Source organism: Homo sapiens, chromosome 12 (genome assembly GCF_000001405.40).
Source record: "Homo sapiens chromosome 12, GRCh38.p14 Primary Assembly".
Taxonomy (NCBI): Eukaryota; Metazoa; Chordata; class Mammalia; order Primates; family Hominidae; genus Homo; species Homo sapiens.
The window spans coordinates 28747657-28763962 of NC_000012.12; the positions used below are offsets into that span (position 1 = coordinate 28747657).

The 16306-nt window shown below is 40.0% G+C and overlaps 1 long non-coding RNA gene across 2 annotated transcripts in view, besides 1 other annotated feature; it reads right to left on the reverse strand.

Annotated features, from left to right (window-relative positions):
- The window catches only part of LOC105369711 (uncharacterized), an 81818-nt gene that overhangs the window by 34524 nt on the left and 30988 nt on the right, over positions 1-16306 (reverse strand). The window lies entirely within an intron of this gene.
- Positions 11554-12171: an enhancer, noted in NCBI's record as "OCT4-NANOG hESC enhancer chr12:28912143-28912760 (GRCh37/hg19 assembly coordinates)". NCBI's record gives its function as "activates a minimal SCP1, AML or CMV promoter by ChIP-STARR-seq in naive and primed H9 embryonic stem cells {active_cell/tissue: H9 hESC(naive and primed)}" and the evidence as "EXISTENCE:reporter gene assay evidence [ECO:0000049][PMID:30033119]".

Consider the following 16306-nt stretch of genomic DNA (forward strand, 5'->3'; position numbering starts at 1 on the left):
TCCGTGAAGGTGCTGTACTACATCTCTGGCTGAGGATAGCATCACACAGATGAGCTCCATCCTGGATAGTCTCCAGTAGTACCACCTCCATTTGGACACAGTAAGGCTGTTGGCTAAGTTATCATTCTTGATGTAGATATATTTTGACAAATTCACATCTCAGAGCACAGCCTGGTATGGTCAGGTGGAGGCCTCCTTCTTAGCCTCCCATGTCTGGAAGGGCTTTACTACCTGCCTTTGTAGCATGGGGGTTCCTGCCCTCATCTGGCCTCCCACTCTCTTTAACATGATCGTTTCACCTTCTCAGGCTCCAATCAGGAGTCCTTCTGGATGCTGTTGTTCTCTTCTTCAGGAAGTTCTCTCTTAAGGTTCAATTCTAGTTTTCATCTCTTAGGTTTCTTTGGGTCTCAGTCACTTTCCTGACCTGGTAACCACTAAAACCTCTCCCTCCTTTTCCAGACACATTTTTCCAAAATATTTAAATTGAGCCACATTTTAGCTATATGTTTTCCGTCGTTTTTAGAGAAAAAAAAATTTCTTTTTTCTTTTGTTTATTTTGAGACAGAGTCTCTCTGTTGCCCAGGCTGAAGTGCAGTGGCATGGTCTCAGCTCACTGCAACCTCAACCTCCTGGGCTCAAGTGATCCTCCCACCTAAGCACAGCTTCCTAGCTAGCTGGGACTACAAGTGCATGCCTCCAAGCCTAGCTAATTTTTTTTAATGTTTTTGCAGAGACAGAGTTTCGTCATGTTGTCAACGCTGGTCTTGAACTCCTGAGCTCAAGCGATCCTCCTGCCTCAGCCTCCCAAAGTGCTGGGATTACAGGCATGAGCCATCATGCCCCATCCAAACTATTTCTTAAAGTGGAAAAGTCTGCCATCTAAAACTTTCTGCAGTATTTCTGATTCCCAAGGTATTTGCACTACTTCTGTGTCAACATAAACTTCAAGTGAAGGTATCACATACATGTACTGACTTTCTTTAATGGTTTTTGGGCCTTTGTTTTAATGAGGATTTCAATCAGCTTTCCGTCTACCTTTTTAGTGCAGGTTAGATCTCTGGTGTGTATAGTAGTGGCCATCATTTCTTGTTATTTGTTTCATATAAAGTCCTCTAGTTTTCTGTGGGTAAAAAACTGCAATACAAATCTCTAAGATTCACAGTGTAATTAGCACATGTGGATCAAAGTGGCACAAGTCACCCAATTTCTGGATCATTCCTGCCTCAGCTTAGGATGAAAGTCAATACTACAAATTCCAAGGTGAAAATCTTCTAATGGCTTATAGATCTGGCTGAAATACAGCAAAGGGCATTAGGCCATTCAACTCATTAATGTGTGGATTGGTAAACTTTTCTGTAAAGTGCCAGATGTTAAGTATTTTACGCTTGTGGACCATACGGTCTCTATTGCAACCACTCCACTCTGCCACTGTAGCGTGAAAATAGTCTTAGACAACATACATAGTGAATCTTAGCTGTGTTAAAGTGAATTAAAATGGAGTCTAGGCCTGAAGAATCGCTGTGGGGACAAACCCAGTGAAGCCTCATAAGTGACCTTAGCTTTGCTTGATTTGCAAACAGAAGTGAAATGTAATTTGAGCTGTTTTTCTTGTAGTGCCTATATTAAGGAAAAACAGAACTTAAGCTCAATCAATCAGAAGCAGCCAACAAACTTATAATTCTACAACTAGGGACTTTCTAGTGGGACAGACCAGGTAAGGCAACTTTATAACTGTAATGAAATATTTCCTTTGTGTGATTTCAACATTCATTCTATGAAAACCTGTCACTCAGTCTTCTTCAATGGAGCCCCTAGACCATTTCTGGTTTGAAGCTGCCCAATTCATAAATCACCATTTGCTCAAATAAACTCTTTAAATTTTTATTGTGCCTCAGTTTATGTTTTAACAGCTGTGTTTCAGTAAAACTTTAATTTTTCACTAAAACACGCAGCAGGCCATAATAGGCCATGGGTCGTGGTTTGCTGACCCCTGCACTCATGCCTGGACAGCTGGGGCACAGAAGCTGTCCTAAAGTGCAACTTCAAAAGAATTAAAGGAAGCAGGCAAGGTCAAAGATGTACATGACCTCTATTAAAGCCCAAAGCTCAAAACATGCTTCATGTAACCAAATATTTTATTTGTATGATTTTAACATTCATTACAATCTACCATGATTGGAAGCTTCCTGGGGCTTCATCAAATACCTCTAAGCATAGTTTTGTTTTGTTTCCATCTGCAAATTTCATTCCCTGTCTCTTTCTCTCAAAATTAATGGCACTAGATATTGGGATCATGAGGCAAGGAGGACCAATAATAACAGCACTTTTTCCTATCCAAGGTCTGAACCATTTGAGACATAATAAAAAAGTTGGCCTGTAGAAACCAATATTTTGCTTTTTTTACTATGGAAAGCTAGATCGAAGGCCATGGCTTATAACTGCTGACAAGTAAGCTTCTCCCTATTAAGCATCAAATTTAGGCTTTCTCATCAACCGAAAACTTATGCTCCCTACAGGCAGTTTGCATTCAAGTAAGAGAAAAAAGACCAGGGTTCTGCTTACTTTTCCTATTCCTATTTACCATCCAGGTAAGTGATTCCATCTAGCCTGGGCAGGAGTGATGGATGGAGCCCAGAGAGTCCAATTAGGGTGTCTTCCAGAGAAGAAGGAGGAAGTATTCTCTTCAAACAATGTCAGCTGAAACCTTCAACAATGAGGTTGAAAGGATCATTTTGTGTCTAGTTGAATGAAGCAACTGAAGATACCATAACAGATGGAGGAAGCCAGTGGGAATTTTAGGCTGAATGACATCCACAGACCTATTTAAAATCTCTGTATTTTAAAGAGTTATTCTGCTCCATTGCTCCCCAGAGGATGCGGGAAAGTCAAGAACATTCTGAAAGCTATGATTTGATGAGGTTCCAGGTTTCTTATCTTTAAAGTTATTTATTTTGCAGTAGCCCAACCCTTGAGAGAAACTCATGGTCCTGCAGTATGATTGACAACTCTTTTTTTTTCTCCCTCTACCAGCACCTACTACACTGATGATTAAATAAAAATCTTCAAAAAATATTGTTTAAATAAGTGAATGAATGCAACCCTTCTAAGGTCTTGATTTCCTACCTTCACCATCTTGTTTCAATAGTTAACAATACGTTCCTTCTAAATGATATCTGTCAGACTACTCTTAAAGGATCCCACTCTTCAGTTCATAGACATTTAGATTCATCTTACTATCTTACTTTTCTTGATTAGTTGCTCTTGAGGAAAAAAGAAGGCAAAGTAACATAAGTATCCAATGCATAGCATATAGCCAGAGGTGATGATGTAACTGAAAACTGACAATAATTCTTGTAATAAAGAGGCATCTGCTAATCTGTTGCTAATTTTTATTTGAAAATTGTTGTTGTTGCTTAGGCCTTAACAAGGTCAGGAAAATACAGAAGCTCCTTTAAAAAGGGAAAATGAAACAAAAAAGTAAGTTTCATATTTTCCTTGGTCTCTTGCTTAAGAAGGTTACTGTAGGAAATGTAAATAGACCACAGGAAGCTTTAGAAACTCAGCTCTTTGATTGAAAAAATGGAAATTCTGTTTTTTACAGAAATAAAGTAATTCAATGAAAATACAAAATACAGTTGGTTATCATTTAAAAAGGGTTTGTTTTTTGGATTATGGTTTCTTTGATATAGTACAACTCTGGCACAGACCATTCCAAGTGTATTTCTGAAAGCAAAATAAATGAAAACTGTTTTCTCTCTTCATTAATGTTTTGCTGTGTTCTATTTGTGGAATTCCAAGAGGAGCATGCAGTTTTCCTGGATCGCTTTCAGAGAGGGAAGGATGAATGGGATGAGGGAGTTGACCCCCAAAGAAAAGAATGAGTCAACATGAAGAAATAATGCTTCTCCCAGGCTTGCATTTGGATCCTCTAATTGTAAAAAATAACACCTTTTCCAGACTTCTCATACCAGCCTCCTTAAATGAAAAGAATCCAAAAGACTGTGGGTAGTGGAGGAGAGAATTTGTTTGTTTACCAACCATAAAGTCCTCATGAACCTAACAGGCTAATAAAATGTTCTTTTTGGATTATTCTCTTTGTCGTCCCCTGACCATCACCACCACCTCCAACATCACCACCACCACAACACACACACACACACACACACACACACTTCCCTTCCCTTCTTTTCTTCTCCATTCACCTTGAACTTTGTATCATCTCTTGGTGATGCTCAACTTAACTCCTTTTCTTTCTTGAAATAAGCTTGAAATAAAAATTAAGACACCTTGAAGTTCTTTTTAAAAGGTCCTCATATTTTATAATTGATTTTTTATATTTTTTTATTATTATTTTACTTTAAGTTTTAGGGTACATGTGCACAATGTGCAGGTTAGTTACATATGTATACATGTGCCATGCTGGTGTGCTGCACCCATTAACTTTTCATTTAGCATTAGATATATCTCCTAAAGCTATCCCTCCCACCTCCCCCTACTCCACAACAGTCCCTGGAGTGTGATGTTCCCCTTCCTGTGACCATGTGTTCTCATTGTTCAATTCCCTCTTATGAGTGAGAATATGCAGTGTTTGGTTTTTTGTTCTTGCGATAGTTTACTGAGAATGATGATTTCCAATTTCATCCATGTCCCTACAAAGGACATGAACTCATCATTTTTATGGCTGCATAGTATTCCATGGTGTATATGTGCCACATTTTCTTAATCCAGTCTATCATTGTTGGACATTTGGCTTGGTTCCAAGTCTTTGCTATTGTGAATAGTGCCGCAATAAACATACGTGTGCATGTGTCTTTATAGCAGCATGATTTAGAGTCCTTTGGGTATATACCCAGTAATGGGATGGCTGGGTCAAATGGTATTTCTAGTTCTAGATTCCCAAGGAATCGCCACACTGACTTCCACAATGGTTGAACTAGTTTACAGTCCCACCAACAGTGTAAAAGTGTTCCTATTTCTCCACATCCTCTCCAGCACCTGTTGTTTCCTGACTTTTTAATGATCACCATTCTAACTGGATGAGATGGTATCTGATTGTGGTTTTGATTTGCATTTCTGTGATGGCCAGTGATGGTGAGCATTTTTTCATGTGTTTTTTGGCTGCATAAATGTCTTCTTCTGAGAAGTGTCTGTTTATGTCCTTTGCCCACTTTTTGATGGGGTTGTTTTTTTTTTCTTGTAAATTTGTTTGAGTTCATTGTAGATTCTGGATATTAGCCCTTTGTCAGATGAGTAGGTTGCGAAAATAATCAATATTTTTTTTTATCAGTGACCATATGCCAGAGCATGAGGACATCATGGAGAATAAGCCAGGCATCCTTTCTGTTCTCATGAGGCTTACTGACTGTCTGAAGCATCTGAAGCAGGTGATAGGGATAGGGTTTGGACGTTTTGTCCCCTCTGAATCTCATCTTGAAATGTGACCTCCAATGTTGGAGGTGAGGCCTGGTGGAAGGTGTTTGGGTCATGGGGGTGGATCCCTCATGAATGGCTTCATGCCCTTTTAGCAGTAATGAGTGAGTTATCACTGCTTTGAGTTCTTGAGAAATCTGGTTGTTTAAAAGAGTCGGGAGCACCTCTCTCCATCAGCTCTTGCTTTGGCTCTTGCCATGTGATGAACCTGCTCCACTTTCACCTTTTGCCATGAGTGGAAGCTTCCTGAGGCCCTCACCAGGAGCAGATGCTGGCACCATGCTTCCTGTACAGCCTGCAGAACTGTGAGCCAAAATAATCCCCTTTTCTTTATATATTACCCAGTCTCAGGTATTCCTTTATAGCAATGCAAACAGACTAGTATAGCAGGGATCAGCAAACTGTAGTTCATGGGACAAATTTGGCCCATTGCCTGACTTTGGAAATATAGTGTTATTCTACACAGGCACACTCATTCATTTACATGTTGTTTATGCTGCTTTTGTGACATCACAGCAAAGATGAGTAGTTGTGACCAAGACTGTTGGGTCTGCAAAGCTTGAAATAATTACCACCTGGTCTTTTACAAAAAGTTTTCCAATTGCTGCTTGGGAAAGGACACCAGTTCCTATAATACGCAGAGCTAAAGACAGAGATAGCCAGTAAAGAAATTCGGTAGAAGGGCATGTCAAAGCTTACTAGTTGGCCCCAATATCCATTCTGCCCTTCTTAGAAAAATAGAACTGATTTTCAGTTGGACTTTTTCACTTGGAATATAGATTGTGTTTCACAGTCTCTTGCAGATAGAGGTAGCTTTTAATTAAATTCTGGCTAATGGGATTGTATTAGTCTATCTTCTTATTGCTATGAAGAAATACCTGAGACTGGGTAATATATAAAGAAAAAGAGGTTTAATGGACTGACTCACAGTTCCACATGGCTGGGGAGACCTTACAATCATGGCAGAAAGTGAAGGAGGAAGATCTTACATGGTGTCAGGCAAGACAGCATGTGCAGGAGAACTGCCCTTTAAAAACCATCAGATCTCATGAGACATATTCACTATCATGAGAAAAGCAGGGGAAAAATCTGCTCCCATGGTTCAATTACCTCCCAATGAGTCCTGGGTCCCTCCCATGACATGTGGGGATTATGGAAGCTACAATTCAAGGTGAGATTTGGATGGGCACACAGCCAAACTATATCATTCCACCCCTGGCCTCTCCCAAATCTCATGTCCTCACATTTCAAAACCAATCATGCCTTTCCAATAGTCCCCCAAATTCTTAATTCATTCCAGCATCAACCCAAAAGTCCAACCCCAAAGTCTCATCTGAGATAAGGCAAGTCCCTTCTGCCTCTGAGCCTGTAAAATCAAAAGCAAATTAGTTACTTCCTAAATACAATGGGAGTACAGGAACTCAGTAAATACAGCCATTCCAAAATGGAGAAATTGGCCAAAACAAACGAGCCATACGCTCCATGGAAGTCCAAAATCCAACAGGGCAGTCATTAAACCTTAAAATTCCAAAATGATCTCCTTTGACTCCCTGTCTCACATCCAGGTCACGCTGATGCAAGAGGTGTGCTCCCATGTCCTTGGGCAGCTCCACCCCTATGGCTTTGCAGGGTATAGACCCCCCCTCCCAGATGCTTTCACAGGCAGGCACTGAGTGTCTGCAGCTTTTCCAGGTTCATGGTGCAAGCTGTCAGTGGATCTACCATTCTGGGGTCTGGAGGACAGTGGCTTTCTTCTCACAGCTCCACTAGGCAGTGATGCAGTGGAGACTCTGTATTGGGGCTCCAACCCCACATTTCCCTTCTGCACTGCCCTAGCAAAGGTTCTCTGTGAGGTCCCTGCCTGTGCAGCAAACTTCTGCCTGAACATCCAGGCATTTCCATACATCCTCTGAAATCTAGGAAGAGGTTCTCAAACCTCAGTTCTTGACTTCTGTGCACCTGCAGGCTCAACATCACATGGAAGCTGCCAAAGCTTGTGGCTTGATCCCTCTGAAGCCACGGCTTGAGCTGCACCTTGGCCCATTTTAGCCATGGTTGGAGCAGCTGGGATGCAGGGCAGCAAGTCCTTGGGCTGCACACAGCAGGGAGGCCCTGGACCTGGCCCAGGAAACCATTTTTCCCTCCTAGGCCTTCAGGCCTGTGATGAGAAGGGCTGCCACAAAGGTCTCTGATATTCCCTGGAAACATTGTCTTCATTGTCTTAGTGATTAACATTTGGCTCCTTGTTAATTATGCAAAATTCTGCAGCAGGTTTGAATTTCTCCCTAGAAAATGGATTTTTCTTTTCTGTTGCATTGTCAAGCTGCAAATTTTTCAAACTTTTTTCTCTGCTTTTCTTGAGTGCCTTGCCGCTTAGAAATTTCTTCCTCCAGAAACCCTAAATGGTCTCTCTCAAGTTCACATTCCTGGGCTCTCTAGGGCAGGAGCAAAATGCCACCAGTCTCTTTGCTAAACCATAACAAGAGTAACCTTTGCTCCAGTTCCCAACAAGTTCCTCATCTCCATCTGAGACCACCTCAGCCTGGACTATCACTATCAGCATTTTGGTCAAAGCCATTCAACAAGTCTCTAGGAAGTTCCAAACATTCCCACATCTTCATGTCTTCTGAGCCCTCCAAGTATCTAGGAGTTTCAAACTTTCCCACATTTTCCTGTCTTCTAGCCCTCTAAACTGTTTCAACCTCTGCTTGTTACCCACTTCCAAAGTCACTTCCACATTTTTGGGTATCTTAATAAAAACAGCCCACTCTACCAGTACCAATTTACTGTATTAATCCATTTTCATACTGCTATGAAGAAACACCTGAGACTGGGTAATGTATAAAGAAAAAGAGGTTTAATGGACTCACAGTTCCACATGGCTGGGGAGGCGCCATGATCATGGCAGAAAGTGAAGGAGGAGCAAAGTGATGTCTTATGTGGTGGCAAGCAAGAGAGCATGTGCAGAGGAACTGCCCTTTATGAAACCATCAGATCTCATGATAATTATTCACTATCATGAGAACAGCACAGGAAAAACCCACCCCCAAGATTCAGTTACCTCCCACTGGGTCCCTTCCATGACATGTGGGGAGTATGGGAGCTACAATTCAAGATGAGATTTGAGTGGTGACACAGCCAAACCATATCAGGGATGTGAGCAGAAGTATTATGTGCATCTTCCTAGAAGTTTCCCTAAAGTAGAATATGCATCTTTCTTTAGGACCCCTTTCTTCTTCCTGGTAGTTGCAGTGCAGTTATGATGGCTGCAGCTTGAACAGTCATCTGGGACCATGGCACACAGAAATAATGAAGCAGTAGGAGATAAGGGGCATAGGACTGAGGTGAAATATCAGGTTTGTTTTAAATTGCATTTCTCTATTGATTAGTGATGTTCAACATTACGAATCATCAACTATTAACCCCTTATCGGGTGTTTACTTTGCAAATACTTTTTCCCATTCTATAGGTTGTCTCTTCACAACCTACAAAAGAACCTGATTGATTCCTTTGCTGTGCAGAAGCTTTTTATTTTGATGCTATCTCATTTGTCTATTTTAACTTTTTTTGCCTTTGCCTCTGAAGTTGTATCCAAAAAATCATAGCTTAGACCAGTTTCACTGAGCTTTTTCCCTATATTTTCTTCTAGTAGTTTTACAGTTGCAGGCCTTACATTTAAGTCTAATCAATTTAGCTTGATTTTTGTATATGGTGTGAGATAAACGTCTAATTTTATTCTTCCACATATGGATATCTAATTTTCCCAGTACCATTTATTAAAAAGACTGCTCTTTTCCCTATTGTGTGTTTGTGGCAACATTGTCAAAAATTAGTTCACATGGATTTATTTCTAGGCTCTCTATTTTGATCCATTTGTCTATGTTTCTGTTTTTATGCCAGCATCATGCTGTTTTGGTTGCTGTAGTTCTGTAGTATATTTCAAAGTCACGCAGTATGATGCCTCTAGCTTTTTTCTTTTTTCCGTATGATAACCTTTGCTATTTGAGGTCTTTTGCTGCAAATTTTAGTATTATTTTTTCTATTTCTGTGAAGAATGTCATTGATGTTTTTGGTAGGTATTGCACTAAGTTTGTAGATTGCTTTGGCTGGTATAAACAATAATATTAGTTCTTTCAATCCATAAAAATATCTTTTCATTATTTTTATCTTTTCAGTTTATATCATGGATTTATGATGGTTTTATGGTTTTCACCTCCTTGGTTACATTTATTCCTAAGTATTTTTTGTAACTCTTATAAATAGGATTTCTTTTTGATTTTTTTAAGATAAGTTGCTCTTAGTGTATTGAAATGCTACTTCTTTTTGTATTTTGATTTTGTATTCTACCTTTACTGAGTTCATTTATTAGTTCTAACAGTTTTTTGGTGGAGTCTTTACAGTTTTTCATGTATAAATCATGTTATCTACAAACAGAAACAATTTGAATTCTTCCTTCTCAATTTGGATACTTTTCATTTCCTTCTCTTGATTAATTGCCCTGGCTAGGACTTTTAGTCAATGTTGCACAGAAGTGGCAAGAGTGGTATCTTTGACTTCTTCCAGATCTTAAAGAAAAAACTTTAAACTTTTCCTAATTGTGTATGGTGTAAGCTGTGAGTTTCTTGCATATGGTCTTTATTGTGTTGAAGTACATTCCTTCTATACCTAATTTGTTGAGAGTTTTTGTTATGAAAGGATGTTGAATTTTGTCAGATGCTTTTTCTGCATCTATTGAAATTATCATGTGGTGTTTGCCTTTCATTCTATTAACATGATGTATCATACTGGTATGGTTTGGCTCTGTGTCCCCACTCAAATCTTGTCTTAAATTGTAATCTTCGTAACCCCCATGTGTCAAGAGAGGGACTTGGTGGGAAGTGATTGTATCATGGGGGCAGTTTCCTGCATGCTGTTCTCATGATGGTGAGTGAGTTCTTACAAGATCTGGTGGTTTTATAAGTGTTTAATAGTTCCTCCTTCACATACTCTCACTCTCTCCTGCCTCCTTGTGAAGAAGGTGCCTGCATCCCCTTTAACCTTCCACCATGATTGTAAGTTTCCTGAGGCCCCCCCTCAGCAATGCAGAACTGTAAGTCAATTAAATTTCTTTCCTTTATAAATTGCCCAGTCTCAGATATTTCTTTATGGCAGTGTGAAAACAGACAAATACACATACCTATTGATTTACATATATTGAACCATGCTTGCATCCCTGGGATGAATCCCACTTGATCATGGCGAATGATCTTTTTAATGTGTTGTTCAATTTCATTTTTTAGTATTTTGTTGAGGATTTTTGCTTTTATGATCATCAGAGATATTGGCCTGTAGTTTTCTTTTTTTGTAGTATTCTTGTCTGACTTTGGTACTAGGGTAATGCTGGCCTCATGCAATGAATTTAGAAGTATTCTCTCTTCTTTAATTTTTTGAAAGAGTTTCAAAACTCTAGATGCATTTCTATTAATACCAATTTTTATTCCTCCTCCAGTGTAAGTTGCACTGAACTGTGAGCATACAGTTCAATAAATTTTTACAAATGGAACACAACAGCATCATCAGTAGACAGATAGAAACAGAATATTACTAGTACTCCAGAATGCGTCCATTTTTTCCAATAGCCATCTTCCACCCAAAAATAATAACAATTCTGACTTGTAATAACATTGATTATGATTATTTTTTGTTTTTTTATACAAATGGAATCAGATAGACAACATGTACTCTTTTATGTCCAGCTTCTTTTGCTCAGCATTATGCATGTTGATTTTATCCACATTGGTGTGAATAGATGTGGTAGTTCATTCTCACTGCTATATAGAATTCTACTGAGTGAATATATCACAATTTATTAATACATTCTATTTTTTATGAAAATTTGAGTAGTTTCTAATTCTTTGACTACCACAGTTCTATGACAAATATTTTAGTATACGCCTTGTGGTGAACACATATACACATTTCTGTTTGGTACATGCCTAGGAGTAGAATTGCTGGTCATAGGGTGTGCACGCATTCAACTATAAAAGATACTGCAGTTTCCACAACGTTTGAACTGGCAATGTATGAAAGTCCTGATTGCTCTAAATTCTTGCTAACACTTGGGATGTTTTGTTCTTTATTTTAGCAATTTTAGTGTGTATGTAGTAGTAGTGCATCAACTCTTTATTTGCAATGTTTTGCTCTCAAGTATGTATTGATCTCATGATTTGATCATGATATGATCTCATGTATTGATCTCAAGTATGGAGTCAGGTGGGGATGGGATGATTTGGCAACTCTGCTGTTCTTAGCTGGGCTTGCATACATGACTGAGGGTGTCCACTGACGGCTGGCAGATTGAGGCTAGCTGCAGCTGAAGTGATTGGCATGACTCATCTCTGCTCTGCAAATCTCTCATTCACCAGCAGAGTTGCCCCAGCATTCTCATGGAAATGGCACAGGTGCTAAAGCAAAGAAACCCAATTGTGCAAGTGCTTTACAAGCCTTTGTTTGCATGGCATTTGCTAATATCCCATTGGTTAAAATGAGTCACTCAGCCTTGCTCAGATTGAGAGTTAGTCAGTTCTACCAAGTTGCATGGAAAAGGGTGTAGAGACAGAGTTGGAAGAAGTGATTCATTTTTGCAATCTAACATACTATGAAATTAAGTACCTTTCAGATGATTATTAGCCATTTAGATATCCTTTTTGTGAAGCTGTTGCTCAACTCTTTCCTTATTTCTTCATGGGATTTCAATCTTTTTCTTTTGGCTTGATTGACCTTTATATTTCTAGATATAAGTCTTTTATTGGATATGTGTATTGTCAATAACTTCTTCCCTTCTGTGGGCTGCCTATTTACCCATCAATGATGTATTTTGACAAACAGAACTTTTAAATTTTAACACAATTTATCAATTTTTCTTTATGTTTAATGCTTTTTGTGTTTATTAAAAAGCCTTGCCTACTCTAAAGTCATAAAGTTGTTTACTTATACTTTTAAAAATCTTTATTATTTTATCTTTCATATACAGATAATTTTTCATATATATATATCATAACAGCTTGATAAATATTATAGCTTAGTTTGGGCTGTCTTTTGGGTGTCAATATCAATTCCTGTGTCTATGCCTGGAGAGATACACTAAAGATTAAGTTGAATCCAAGGGAGGAGACAAGATGGCCGAATAGGAACAGTTCCGGTCTACAGCTCCCAGCTTGAGCGACGCAGAAGATGGGTGATTTCTGCATTTCCATCTGAGGTACCGGGTTCATCTCACTAGGGAGTGCCAGACAGTGGGCACAGGTCAGTAGGTGCGCGCACCGTGTGCGAGCGAAGCAGGGCGAGGCATTGCCTCACTTGCGAAGCGCAAGGGGTCAGGGAGTTCCCTTTCTGAGTCAAAGAAAGGGGTGACCGACGCACCTGGAAAATCGGGTCACTCCCACCCGAATACTGTGCTTTTCCGACGGGCTTAAAAAACGGCGCACCACGAGATTATATCCCGCACCTGGCTCGGAGAGTCCTATGCCCACGGAGTCTCGCTGATTGCTAGCACAGCAGTCTGAGATCAAACTGCAAGGCGGCAGCGAGGCTGGGGGAGGGGCGCCCGTCATTGCCCAGGCTTGCTTAGGTAAACAAAGCAGCCCGGAAGCTCGAACTGGGTGGAGCCCAACACAGCTCAAGGAGGCGTGCCTGCCTCTGTAGGCTCCACCTCTGGGGGCAGGGCACAGACAAACAAAAAGACAGCAGTAACCTCTACAGACTTAAATGTCCCTGTCTGACAGCTTTGAAGAGAGCAGTGGTTCTCCCAGCATGCAGCTGGAGATCTGAGAACAGGCAGACTGCCTCCTCCAGTGGGTCCCTGACCCCTGATCCCCGAGCAGCCTAACTAGGAGGCACCCCCCAGCAGGGGCACACTGACACCTCACACAGCAGGGTATTCCAACAGACCTGCAGCTGAGGGTCCTGTCTGTTAGAAGGAAAACTAACAAACAGAAAGGACATCCACACCAAAAACCCATCTGTACATCACCATCATCAAAGACCAAAAGTAAGCTGAGAGAAGAAGGCTTCAGATGATCAAATTACTCTGAGCTATGGGAGGACATTCAAACCAAAGGCAAAGAAGTTGAAAACTTTGAAAAAAATTTAGAAGGATGTATAACTAGAATAACCAATACAGAGAAGTGCTTAAAGGAGCTGATGGAGCTGAAAACCAAGGCTCGAGAACTCTGTGAAGAATGCAGAAGCCTCAGGAGCCGATGCGATCAACTGGAAGAAAGGGTATCAGCAATGGAAGATGAAATGAATGAAATGAAGTGAGAAGGGAAGTTTAGAGAAAAAAGAATAAAAAGAAATGAGCAAAGCCTCCAAGAAATATAGGACTATGTGAAAAGACCAAATCTACGTCTGATTGGTGTACCTGAAAGTGACGGGGAGAATGGAACCAAGTTGGAAAACACTCTGCAGGATATTATCCAGGAGAACTTCCCCAATCTAGCAAGGCAGGCCAATGTTCAGATTCAGGAAATACAGAGAACACCACAAAGATACTCCTCGAGAAGAGGAACTCCAGGACACATAATTGTCAGATTCACCAAAGTTGAAGTAAAGGAAAAAATGTTAAGGGCATCCAGAGAGAAAGGTCGGGTTACGCTCAAAGGGAAGCCCATCAGACTAACAGCTGATCTCTTGGCAGAAACCCTACAAGCCAGAAGAGAGTGGGGGCCAATATTCAACATTCTTAAAGAAAAGAATTTTCAACCCAGAATTTCATATCCAGCCAAACTAAGCTTCATAAGTGAAGGAGAAATAAAATACTTTACAGACAAGCAAATGCTGAGAGATTTTGTCACCACCAGGCCTGCCCTAAAAGAGCTCCTGAAGGAAGCACTAAACATGGAAAGGAACAACCGGAACCAGCCACTGCAAAATCATGCCAAAATGTAAAGACCATCGAGGCCAGGAAGTAACTGCATCAACTAACGAGCAAAATAACCAGCTAACATCATAATGACAGGATCAAATTCACACATAACAATATTACCTTTAAATGTAAATGGACTAAATGCTCCAATTAAAAGACACAGACTCGCAAATTGGATAAAGAGTCAAGACCCATCAGGGTGCTGTATTCAGGAAACCCATCTCACGTGCAGAGACACACATAGGCTCAAAATAGAAGGATGGAGGAAAATCTACCAAGCAAATGGAAAACAAAAAAAGGCAGGGGTTGCAATCCTAGTCTCTGATAAAACAGACTTTAAACCAACAAAGATCAGAAGAGACAAAAAAAGGCTATTACATAATGGTAAAGGGATCAATTCAACAAGAAGAACTAACTATCCTAAATATATATGCACCCAATACAGGAGCACCCAGATTCATAAAGCAAGTCCTGAGTGACCTACAAAGAGACTTAGACTCCCACACATTAATAATGGGAGACTTTAACACCCCACTGTCAACATTAGACAGATCAACGAAACAGAAAGTCAACAAGGATACCCAGGAATTGAACTCAGCTCTGCACCAAGCGGACCTCATAGACATCTACAGAACTCTCCACCCCAAATCAACAGAATATACATTTTTTTCAGCACCACACCACACCTATTCCAAAATTGACCACATACTTGGAAGTAAAGCTCTCCTCAGCAAATGTAAAAGAACAGAGATTATAACAAACTATCTCTCAGACCACAGTGCAATCAAACTAGAACTCAGGATTAAGAATCTCACTCAAAACCACTCAACTACATGGAAACTGAACAACCTGCTCCTGAATGACTACTGGGTACATAACGAAATGAAGGCAGAAATAAAGATGTTCTTTGAAACCAACGAGAACAAAGACACAACATACCAGAATCTCTGGGACGCATTCAAAGCAGTGTGTAGAGGGAAATTTATAGCACTAAATGCCCACAAGAGAAAGCAGGAAAGATCCAAAATTGACACCCTAATATCACAATCAAAAGAACTAGAAAAGCAAGAGCAAACACATTCAAAAGCTAGCAGAAGGCAAGAAAGAACTAAAATCAGAGCAGAACTGAAGGAAATAGAGACACAAAAAACCCTTCAAAAAATTAATGAATCCAGGAGCTGGTTTTTGGAAAGGATCAACAAAATTGATAGACCGCTAGCAAGACTAATAAAGAAAAAAAGAGAGAAGAATCAAATAGACACAATAAAAAATGATAAAGGGGATATCACCACCGATCCCACAGAAATACAAACTACCATCAGAGAATACTACAAACACCTCTACGCAAATAAACTAGAAAATCTAGAAGAAATGGATACATTCCTCGACACATACACTCTCCCAAGACTAAACCAGGAAGAAGTTGAATCTCTGAATAGACCAATAACAGGCTCTGAAATTGTGGCAATAATCAATAGTTTACCAACCAAAAAGAGTCCAGGACAAGATGGATTCACAGCCGAATTCTACCAGAGGTACAAGGAGGAACTGGTACCATTCCTTCTGAAACTATTCCAATCAATAGAAAAAGAGGGAATCCTCCCTAACTCATTTTATGAGGCCAGCATCATCCTGATACCAAAGCCAGGCAGAGACACAACCAAAAAAGAGAATTTTAGACCAATATCCTTGATGAACATTGATGCAAAAATCCTCAATAAAATACTGGCAAACCGAATCCAGCAGCACATCAAAAAGCTTATCCACCATGATCAAGTGGGCCTCATCCCTGGGATGCAAGGCTGGTTCAATATATGCAAATCAATAAATGTAATCCAGCATATAAACAGAGCCAAAGACAAAAACCACATGATTATCTCAATAGGTGCAGAAAAAGCCTGTGACAAAATTCAACAACTCTTCATGCTAAAAACTCTCAATAAATTAGGTATTGGTGGGACGTATTTCAAA